The following is a 12410-nucleotide window of genomic DNA, read 5'->3' as shown; positions in this document are numbered from 1 at the left end:
ACACCTTAAAGTGGCAAGAACAGCATTAGGCAATGCAGAAAAATCAGAGGCAGTCAACTTGGGGACTCAACCACCCTCGGCACTTACCTCAGAGAAAAGTTCACAGGAAAGGCCGTCTGAGCCACAGCACCACAGTATGTGACCAGGAAGTGTGGTAATCCTTGGTTCTTGCCTAACTTGAAAGATAGAATTCAGACAATAGATGCATAGCAATGGTTAAGTAGCAGAGTTTATTGAAGGTAGATAAGTACCTTCCTAGAGAGGAGTGGAAAACAGCCCCAGGCAGGTCCAGTTGGAATATTAGTAGTAGTAGTAGTGGTAGTAGTAATAGTAGTCGTAGTAGTGTTCATTTAAAGAGAGAGTACACACTCTGAAAGATGAGACAGAGCGGGCTGCTCAAAAGAATGAGCCAGCAACAGCTAGTGCTGGAATATTCTCTTTATGAGAATCTTACATAATTTTTTTATAAATGGCCAAGGGGGTGTTACTTGCAACAATGTTTTAGGAAGTCTCTTTGGGCACCTATGCTTTGTGGTTGTATGTGCTAGTACACACATTGCATGTCTTATTAGCATATAAAACCTCCACCCAGACTTCTGTTTGTTACTATTATAATGAACAAAAGGTTACTATTATAATGAACAAAAAAAACCTTCAATTTTTGAAGGAATGTGCATGCTTATCAGTGGAGAAAATTCCAGCATGGTTATCTCTGGCTAGGGCCTGATAAGTACCTTTCAAGGCTGGAGGAGCTAAACATCGAATACACATGGCCACAAAGAAGGGAACAAAGGACATCAGTAGCTGCTTGAGAAAGGAGGGTGAGAGGAGGTTGAACATTGAGAAACTACCTATTGGGTACTATGGTTATTACCTGGGTTACTAATCTGTACAAAAACCCATATGACATGCAATTTACCTATATAACAAACATTCACATATACCCTTGAACCTAAAATAAAAGTTAAAAAATATTTTCGATAAGATAAAAATGTTACTAAAATTGAAAAAAGAGAACACTACTGGCTAATATTCTTGATTAACATAGATGTAAGAATCCTTAACAAATTACAAGCACACTTAATACAATAAAATATCAAAAAGTTAATACATTTTGATCAAGGAAGATTTATTCCAGGGATGCAAGGATGGTCCAATATACACAAATTGATACATGTGATCCATCATATAGACCAAGTAATGACAAAACTATATGATTATCTCCATAGATACAGAGGAAGTATTTGATAATATTCAACCTTCTTCATGGTAAAAAAAAATCAGCAAATTAGATGTATAAGTAAAACACTTCAAAACAATAGCTACCATATATGACAAACGCACAGCTAACTTTATACTGAACAAGGAAATGTTGAAAGCTTTTTCTCTGAGATCTGTAATAAGGCAAGGATGTTCACTTTCACTCCTTTTATTCAACATTAATACTGTTAAGTCTTAGCCAGAGCAATTATATAAGAGAAAGAAATGTAGGCCATTCAAATTGGAAAGAAAGCAGTCAAATTGTCTACCTTCATAGATGATATAATCTTATATTTAGACAAACTTAATGACGCCACCAAAAACTGATAGAACTGATAATGAAATCAGTAAAGTTGCGGGATACAAAATCAACTTATTGAACTCAGTAGCATTTTTATATGCTAACAGTTAACAATCTGAAAAACAAATTAAGAAAGAATTCTCATTTTCAGTAGCTATAAAAAATATATACCTAGGCATAAATTTAAGCAAAGTAAAAGATCTGTACAAAAAAAAACCCTGATGAACAAAATTGAAGAGAACACAAAAAATGGAAAGATAATCTGTATTCATGAATTGGAATAATTAATATTGATAAAAATATTCATAATACACAAATTGATATACAGATTCAATAATATAGCTATCAAAATAGCATTAACATTATCAGCAGAAATATTATTATAAACCATTCTATCATAAGGATACAAGCACGTTTATGTTCATGGCAGTACTATTCATAATAGCAAAGAAGTGAAACAAACCTGCACATCTTACACATGTACTCCTAAACTTAAAATAGAAGTTAAAAAATCTTAATATTTATAGGAAACACAGAAGGAAACCTTTTATAGTCAAAGCAATCCTGAGCAAAAAGAACAAGGCTGGAATCATCAAACTCCCTAACTTTAAAATATACTACAAAGTTCTAATAATAAAAAAAGGTATCAGTATAAAAAAAGACACATAGATCAATGAAGCAGAGTATAGAACCCAGATCTAAATGAATTTATTTACCACCAACTCATTTTTGTCAAAGGGCCCAAGAATATGCATTGGCGAAAGGGCAGTCTATTTATAAATGGTGGTGAAAAAAATGAATATCCATATACAGAAAAATAAAATTAACCCCTATCTTTCACCATATATAAAAATAAAATGAAAGTAGAATTAAAGACAGATGGAAAATACAAAATTATGAAACTATTAGAAAAAATATTAAGCAAATGCTATAGGACATTGATCTGGGCAAAGAGTTTTTGCTTAAGACTTCAAATGCACAGGCAAAGTAAAAATAGGCAAATGGGATTAGAGTAGGGGAAAAAGCCTCTACACATCAAAGAAACAATCAACAGAGCAAAGAGACAATGTAAAAAATGAGAGAAACACATTTGTAAACCATCCATCAGATAAGAGATTAATATCCAGAAAATATAGACAACTCAAACAACTAGATAGTAAAAATGCAAATAATCCAATTCCAAAATGGGAAAATAAAATGAATTGACATTTCTCAAAACAAGACATACAAATGGCAAAGTGGTATATGAAAAATGCTCAACATCATTAATCATAAATGTAATGTAAATCAAAACTTCAGTGAGACATCTCACCCATATTAAAGTGGCTACTATCAAAAGGCAAAATATAACAGATGCTGATGAGGATGCAGCAAAAGAGGAATTCTCATAAGTATTGGTGGGATATAAATTAGTACCACCGTTATAAAAAAATAGTATGGAGTTTTTTTTTCCTTTTTTAAAAATTGTACTTTAAGTTCTGGGATACATGTGCAGGACACGCATGTTTGTTACGTAGGTATACATGCGCCATGGTGGTTTGCTGCACCAACCAACCAGTCATCTAGATTTTAAGCCCTGCATGCATTAGGTATTTGTGCTAATGCTCTCCCTCCCCTCATCCCCCACCCCCTGACAGGTCCCAGTGTGTGATGCTTCCCTCCCTGTGTCCATGTCTTCTCATTGTTCAACTTCTACTTATGAGTGAGAACATGGGGTGTTAGGTTTTTTGTTCCTTTGTTAGTTTGCTGAGAATGATGGCTTCCAGCTTCATCCATGTCTCTGCAAAAGACATAAATTCATTCTTTTTTATGGCTGCATAGTATTCCATGGTGTATATGTGCCACATTTTCTTTATCCAGTCTATCATTGATAGGCATTTGGATTGGTTCCAAGTCTGGCTATTGTAAATAGTGCTGCAATAAACATACGTGTGCATGTGTCTTTATAGTAGAATGATTTATTATAATACTTTGGGTATAAACCCAGTAATGGGATTGCTGGATCAAATGGTATTTCTGGTTCTAGATCCTTGAGGAATCATCACACTGTCTTCCACAATGGTTGAACTCATTTACACTCTCATCAGCAGTGTAAAAGTGTTCCTATTTCTGCAAATCCTCACCATCATCTGTTGTTTCCTGACTTCTTAATGATCGCCACTCTAAGTGGCATGAGATGGTATCTCATTGTGGTTTTGATTGGTGTTTCTCTAATGACCAGTGATGATGAGCTTTTTCTCATATGTTTGTTGGCCGCATAAATGTCTTCTTTTGAGAAGTGTCTGTTCATATCATTCACCTACTTTTTGATGGTTTTTTTTTCTTGTAAATTTGTTTAAGTTAGTTGTAGATTCTGGATATTAGACCTTTGTCAGATGGGTAGCTTGCAAAAATTTTCTTCCATTCTCTAGGTTGCCTGTTCACTCTGATGATAGTTTCTTTTGCTGTGCATAAGCTATTTAGTCTGATTAGATTCCATTTGTCAATTTTGGCTTTTGTTGCCATTGCTTTTGGTGTTTTAGTCATGAAGTCTTTGCCCATGCCTGTGTCCTAAATTGTATTGCCTAGGTTTTCTTCTAGGGTTTTTACAGTTTTGAGTTTTACATTTAAGTCTTTAATCCATCTTGAGTTAATTTTTGTTTAAGGTGTAAGGAAGGGGTCCAGTTTCAGTTTTCTGCATATAGCTAACCAGTTTTCCCAGCACCATTTATTAAATAAGGAATCCTTTCCCCATTTATTGTTTTTGTCAGGTTTGTCAAAGATCAGATTGTTTAGATATGTGGTATTATTTCTGAGGTGTCTGTTCTTTTCCATTGGTCTATATATCTGTTTTGGTACCAGTACCATGCTCTTTTGATTACTGTAGCCTTGTATAGTTAGAAGTCAGGTAGCATGATGTCTCCAGCTTTGTTCCTTTTGCTTAGGATTGTCTTGGCTATACGGGCTCTTTTTTCATTTCATATGAAATTTAATGTTGTTTTAATCATTCTGTGAAGAAAGTCACTTGTAGCTTGATGGGAATAGCATTGAATCTATAAATTACTTTGGGCAGTATGGCCATTTTCATGATATTGATTCTTCCTATCCATGAGCATGGATTTTTTTTCCCATTTGTTTCTGTCCTCTCTTACTTCCTTGAGAAGTGGTTTTTAATTCTCCTTGAAGAGGTCCTTCATGTCCCTTGTAAGTTGTATTCCTAGGTATTTTATTCTCTTTGTAGCAATTGTGAATGGGAACTCACTCATTATTTGGCTCTCTGCTTGTCTATTGTTGGTGTATAAGAATTCTTATGATTTTTGCACGTTGATTTTGTATCCTGAGACTTTGCCAAAGTTGCTTATCAGCTGAAGGAGTTTTGAGGCGAGACAATGGAGTTTTCTAAATACACAATGTTGTTATCTGCAAACACAGACAATTTGACTTCCTCTCTTTCTATTTGAATATCCTTTCTTTCTCTTGCCTTATTGCCCTGGCCAGAACTTCCAGTACTATGTTGAATAGGATGGTAATAGAGGGGATCCTTGTCTTGTGCTAGTTTTCAAAGGGAATCCCTCCAGCTTTCACCCATTCAGTATGATATTGGCTATGGATTTGTTATAAATAGTTCTTATTATTTTGAGATATGTTCCATCAATACCTAGTTTATTAAGGGTTTTTAGCATGAAAGGATGTTGAATTTTATCAAAGGCCTTTTCTGTATCTATCGAGATAATCATGTGGTTTTTGTCGTTGGATCGGTTTATGTGATGGATTACATTTATTGATTTGTGTATGTTAAACCAGCCTTGCATCTCAGCGATAAAGTCGACTTGATCTTGGTGGATAAGCTTTTTGATGTGCTGCTGGATTTGATTTGCCAGTAATTTATTGAGGCTTTCCGCATCGATATTCATCAGGGATATTGACCTCAAATTTTCTGTGTGTGTCTCTACCAGGTTTTGGTATCAGGATGATGCTGGCCTCATAAAATGAGTTAGGGAAGAGTCCTTCTTTTTCTACTGTTTGGAATAGTTTCAGAAAAAATGGTACCAGCTCCTCTTTGTACCTTTGGTAGAATTCGGCTGTGAATCCATCTGGTCCTGGGCTTTTTTTGTTTTAGTAGGCTATTAATTACTGCCTCAATTTTAGAACTTGTTATTGGTCTATTCAGGGATTCAACTTCTTCCTGGTTTAGTCCATTTTTTTCTAGATTTTCTAGTTTATTTGCATAGAAGTGTTTATAATAGTCTATGATTGTAGTTTGTGTTTCTGTGGAATCAGTGGTGATATTCCCTTCATCATTTTTTTTTTTGTCTATTTGATTCTTCTCTCTTTCCTTCTTTATTAGTCTAGGTAGTGTTCCATCTATGTTTTTAATCTTTTCAAAATACCAGCTACTGGATTCATTGATTTTTTGAAGGGTTATTTTGTGTGTCTCTATCTCCTTTAGTTTTGCTCCAATCTTAGTTATTTCTTGTCTTCTGCTAGCTTTTGAATTTGTTTGCTCTTGCTTCTGCTTGATAATGAGCTGAGTTCAAGTCCTGGATATCCTTGTTAATTTTCTGTCTCATTGATCTGTCTAATATTGACAGTGGGGTGTTAAAGTCTCCTACTACTATTGTGTGGGAGTCTAAGTCTCTTTGTAGCTCTCTAAGAACTTGTTTTATGAAACTGGGTGCTTCCGTATTGGTTGCATATATATTTAGGATAGTTAGCTCTTCTTGCTGCATTGACCCCTTTGCCATTATGTGATGCCCTTCTTTGACTTTTTTAATCTTTGTTTTATCAGAGACTAGGATTGCAACCCCTACTTTTTTTTGCTTTCCATTTGCTTGGTAAATATTCCTCCGTCCCTTTATTTTGAGTCTAGGTGTGTCTTTGCACATAAGATGGGTCTTCTGAATACAGTACACTGATGGGTCTTGACTCTTTATCCCATTTGCCAGTCTGAGTCTTTTAATTGTGGCATGTAGCCCATTTACATTTAAGGTTGATATTGTTATGTGTGAATTCGATTCTGGCATCATGATGCTAGCTGGTTATTTTGCACATTAGTTGATGCAATTTCTTTATAATGTCATTGGTCATTATATTTTAGTGTGTTTTTGCAGTGGCTAGTACCAGTTTTTCCTTTCCATATTTAATTCCTCCTTCTGGAGCTCTTGTAAGGTAGGCCTTGTGGTGACAAAATCATTCAGCATTTTCTTGTCTGGAAAGGATTTTATTTCTCCTTTGCTTAGGAAGCTTAGTTTGGCTGGATATGAAATTCTGGGTTGAAAATTCTTTTCTTTAAGAATGTTGAATATTGGCCCTCAGTCTCTTCTGGTTTGTAAGGTTTCTGTAGAGAGATCTATTACTAGGCTGATGGGCTTTCCTCTCTAGGTAAACTGACCTTTCTCTCTGGCTGCCCTTAATATTTTTTCCTTCATTTCAACCTTGGAGAATCTGACAGTTATGTGTCTTGGGGTTGGTCTTCTCGAGGAGTATCTTAGTGGTGTTCTCTGTATTGAGTTGAATGTTGGCCTTTCTTGCTAGGTTGGGGAAGTTCTCCTGGATAATATCCTGTAGTGTGTTTTCCAACTTGGTTCCATTCTCCTTGTCACTTTCAGATACACCAGTCAATGGGAGGTTTGGTCTTTTCACATTGACCCATATTTCTTGGAGGCTTTGTTCATTCCTTTTCATTCTTTTTTCTCTAATCTTGTCTTCACACCTTATTTCAGTAAGTTAATCTTCAATCTCTGATATCCTTTCTTCCACTTGATCAATTTGGCTATTAATACTTGTGTATGCTTCACAAAGTTCTCGTGCTGTGTTTTTCAGCTCCATCAGGTCATTTATGTTTCTCTCTAAAATGGCTAGCCTATTTAGCATTTCCTGTAACTTTTATCAATGTTCTTAGCTTCCTTGCATTGGGTTAGAACATGCTAATTTAGCTCAGAAGAGTTTGTTATGACTCACTTTCTGAAGGCTACTTCTGTCAATTCATCAATCTCATCCTCCATCCAGTTTTGTGCCCTTGCTGGAGAGGAGTTGCAATCCTTTGGAGGAGAAGAGCCTCCAATTTTGAAATTTTGAAATTTTCAGTGTTTTTGCGCTGGTTTTTCCTCATCTTCGTGGATTTATCTACCTTTGATATTTGAGGCTGATGACCTTTGGATGGAGTTTTTGTGTGGGAGTCCTTTATGTTGATGTTGATGTTGATGTTGTTGCTTTCTGTTTGTTAGTTTTTCTTCAAACAGTCAGGCACCTCTTCTGCAGGTCTGCTGCAATTTGCTGGAGTTCCAGTCCAGACCCCGTTGGCCTGGACAGGCTGCAGAACAGCAAAGATTGCTGCCTGCTCCTTCCTCTGAAAGCTTTGTCCCAGAAGGCACCAGCCTGATGCCAGCCGGAGCTCTCCTGTATGCAATGTCAACCCCTGTTGGGAGGTTTCTCCCAGTCAGGAGGCTCAGGGGTCAGGGAACCACTTGAGGAGGCAGTATGTCCTTTAGCGGAGCTGGTGCGCTGTGCTGGGAGAATCTCTCTTGTCAGGATCAGCTACTCTCTTCAAAGCCAGCAGGCAGGAATGATTAAATCCACTGAAGCTGCACCCACAGCCACTCCTTCCCCCAGGTGCTTTGTCCCAGGGAGATGGGGGTTTTGTCTGTAATCCCCTGACTGGGGCTGTTACCTTTCCCTTACAGATGTCCTGCCCAGTGAGGAGGAATCTAGAGAAGCAGTCTGGCCAAAGCCACTTTGCTGCACCCAGCCCAGACTTCCCAGCCTCCTTAGTACTGTCAGAGAATAACGGCTCAGTAAAGCCTCAGTTATGTTGGAAGCCCCTCCCCCTACCAAGCTTGATCATCCGAGGTCGACTTCCGACTGCTGTGCTGGCAGTGAGAATTTCAGGCCAGTGGTTCTTAGATTGCTGGGCTCTGTGGGAGTGGGACCTGCTGAGCGATACCACTTGGCTCTCTGGCTTCAGCCTCCTTTCCAGGGGAGTGAATTGTTCTGTCTTGCTGGGGTTCCAGGCACCACTGGGTTATGAAAAAATACTCAGCTAGCTCAGTGTTTGCCCAAACAGCTGCTTAATTTTGTGCTTGAAACCAGGGCCCTGGTCGTGTAGGCAAATGAGGGAATCTCCTGATCTGCAGATTGCAAAAACCATGGGAAAAGTGTAGTAACCTCGCCAGGTAGTACAGTCCCTCACGGATTCCCTTGGTTGTGGGAGGGAGGTCCCCAGCTCCTTGCACTTCCCGGGTGAAGCAACTCCCCACCCTGCTTCTGCTCGTCCTCCATGGGTTGGACCCACTGCCTAACCAGTCCCAATGAGATAAACTGGGTACCTCAGCTGGAAATGAAGAAATCACCCACCTTCTGCGTTGATCTCACTGGGAACTGCAGACCGGAGCTGTTACTATTAGGCCGTCTTGACCTCTCCCCTACCCCTCCTTTTTTTTTTTTTTTTTTATAGAACTAAAAATAGAACTGCCATATGATTCAACAATCTCACTGCTGGGTATATACCCTAAATAAAGGAATTTAGTAAATCAAAGACATATATGTTCTCCCATGTTTACTGTAGCACTATTCACGGTAATCAAGTTTTGGGATTAATCTGTGCCCAATCATGGATAAATGAATAAAATGTTGTAAACATATATATATATATACACTAGCGGCCATTATGTTAAATGAAATAGGCCAAGTGTAGAAAAAAAATCACATGTGGGAGGTAAAAATCTTGTTCTCATGGAGGAGGAGAGTAGAATGGTAGTTATCCAGAAAGAGTAGGGGGTATAGGGGAGTTAAGCAAGTTTGATTAATGGAAATAGATACAGTTAAATAATAGGAATAAGTTCTAATATTTGGTAACACAGTGAGGTGACTATAGTTATCAATAATTTTTTGTATATTTCAAAATAGCTGTAATAGAAAATTTGGAATGCTCTTAACATTAAAAAACGATGAATATTTGAGGTGATGGATATGCCAATTATACTGATTTCATCATTACACATTATATGCATGTGTCAAAATATTACATGTATCCCATAAATATGTACAGTTATTATGTATTGATAAAAAATTGATATGATTTGGAACATTGGAATGAAGAAAGGGAATCAGAAAAAATACTTTTTTAGTTTGCATTACTCCCCAAAATCTGAAAAGATTTTCAGTATCTGAAAGGTCCCCCTCTTGCACCACAAAAGGTCAATTTGTAGTAGCTCTCTACTTTCCAACATGTCCCACAACATTTTATATTGTGTATAAGTTCAGGGTAAAATTTATCCCTATAAATCTTTTTTAGCTATATAAAATTTCAGAAATAAATGAAGGTATGGAAGCAATTGAGTCTAACCCTTTCACAGACTTTTCTACAAGTAGAAATACAGAGACACAGGGAAGATAAATTGCCTAAGTCATGTTACTAGTTACTTACAGAACTAGGTACAAAACTTAAATGTCTTTAAAATTTAGATTTCTTGTCTCCTGATTATATATTTTTTTTTCACTTTGGGTTTGGAAGAACCGTTTACTTGGCCACAAAAGCCTACTGTATGCATTGGCATGCATTTTCTTATATTGTATAATGAGTAGCACCAGTCACAGCTCTTTGGCTCCCAAATTTATCCCACTGTCTGCTGTATCGATGTGATTCCACTATTAATAAGTCATTTTTAGGAAGGCTAGTCTTCTCAATTTTCCTTTACAAAAATACAGATCCACTGTCTACCAACCCACATGACTAGGTTTTCACGGAAGAATATGACAGACTTCTGTGAATAATTTCATGGTCTTCAAGGTACCAATGGCCTGCTACTCAGGGTAAGCAGAAACAGTGTCTTCTCCATAACAATGAAAGGTGTTTGAATAGGGAACCCTTCTGTGGGAGTAAAACAGAGAGGAAAACTTGAAACTTGAATTTAGGCCATTTGAGGCTTCCAAGTTTCTCCCAGATGGCAAGGCTTGCATAATATTGAGCCTTAATTTTAGGCCCTAAACCATAGGTTTTAAACATGAGGACATTTCCAGGGATGACTCTTAAAAGATTTTTTGATATTTGAAATATAAGGACCTAAATATTTGGGAAATGATGTCATCAGGATGGTAAAGTGGGAGATACCAGCTTTATTCTTCTATTAAAACCAATAATTAGACAACTACCAGTGAATGAAAATAGCCTTGAGAGGGCCCAAGAGTCCAATTAAAAACCTCCAGTAAAACAGTGGAGAAAAAAAATAACCACATAGAAAAAGTTTCTGGGGAGATCAGCATACCTGAGATGTGTGAAGATCATGGGAACAAAGGAAAAGGGCAGAGACTATCAATATTAGTGACAAAGCAGGTGCCACCTTGGTCCCAGTGCCCTGATCTGCAGAGGACCCTGACCACTTTAATCACTGAAGTAACCAACAGCCATCACCATCATGGACCCCCTGAACAGTGATTTGTTGCGGTGCACTTCCTCAGGAAAACACCACTGTAGTGCTACCCTGAGGCTGAGCTGTCACCACCCCCAACAAAGCATGCCCCAGACCCAAGTGCCACTGTTACTCTGTACCTGTCTATGCTCCAGACCCTGGCCTGTAGCTTTGTGCAGTTTGAAAATGGGCAATGTGATTCCTTCAGCTTTGTTATTCTTGCTTAGGATTGCCTTGGCTATACTGGCTCTTTTTTGGTTCCATATGAAGTTTAAGATTTTTTTTTTCTATTTCTGTCATTGGTAGTTTGATAGAAATAGCATTGAATCTGTAAATTTCTTTTCACCATATGGCCATTTTAAGGATATTGATTCTTTTTACCCAAGAGCATGGAATGTTTCTTCATTTGTCTGTGTCATCTCTGATTACTCTGAGCAGTGTTTTGTAACTTCATTGAAAAGGTAGGGATCTATGAGGCCAGCATCATCCTTATACCAAAACCTGGAGGAGTCCAAAAAAAAGTAGGCCAATATCCTTAATGAACTGAGATGCAAAAATCTTCATCAAAATACCAGCAAACTGTATCCAGCAGCACATCAAAAAGCTAATTCACCATGATCAAGTAGGCTTGATCCTTGGGATGCAAGGGTGGTTCAACATATGCAAATCAATAAATGTGATTCATCAAATAAATGGAACTAAATACAAAGCCACATGATTATCTCAATAGATGCAGAAAATGCTTTTTATAAAATTCATCATCCCATCATGTTAAAAACCCTCAATAAACTAGACATTGAAGAAACATAATTCAAAATAATAAAAACCATCTATGACAAAGCCACAGCCAACATCATACTGAATAGGCAAAAGCTGGAAGCATTCCCTTTAAAACCAGGAAGAAGACAAGGATACCCTCTCTCATCACTCATACTTAACACAATATTGGAAGTCCTGGCCAGAGCAATCATACAAGAGAGAGAAATAAAATGCATCCAAATGAAAAGTGAAGAAGTCAAACTATCGCTGTTTTTGGATGACACGATTCTATATCTAGAAAACCCCCAAAACCTCACAGTCTCCACCTAAAAGCTCATTGAGCTGATAAGCAACTGCAGCAAAGGGATACAAAATGAATGCACAAAATCAGACACATTCCTATACACTAAGAGCACCCAAGCTGAGAGCCAAATCAGGAACATAAGCACATTCATAATTGCAACAAAAAATAAAATATCCAAGAATACAGGTATTCTAATAACTATATTCTAACATATTGGATAACCTAAAAAAATTGATAAATTTCTAGACACATACAACATTTCAAAACTGAATTAGTTATATTTCAGATTGAAAACCTAAATAGAACAATAATAAATGATCAATGGAATCATTGATAAGAAACTGATTCATTAAAGTCTAGGACCTGATGCCTTTATTTGTGAATTATACTAAGCATTTAA

Source organism: Homo sapiens, chromosome X (assembly GCF_000001405.40).
Source record: "Homo sapiens chromosome X, GRCh38.p14 Primary Assembly".
Lineage (NCBI taxonomy): Eukaryota > Metazoa > Chordata > Mammalia > Primates > Hominidae > Homo > Homo sapiens.
This window is presented reverse-complemented; position numbering follows the sequence as displayed.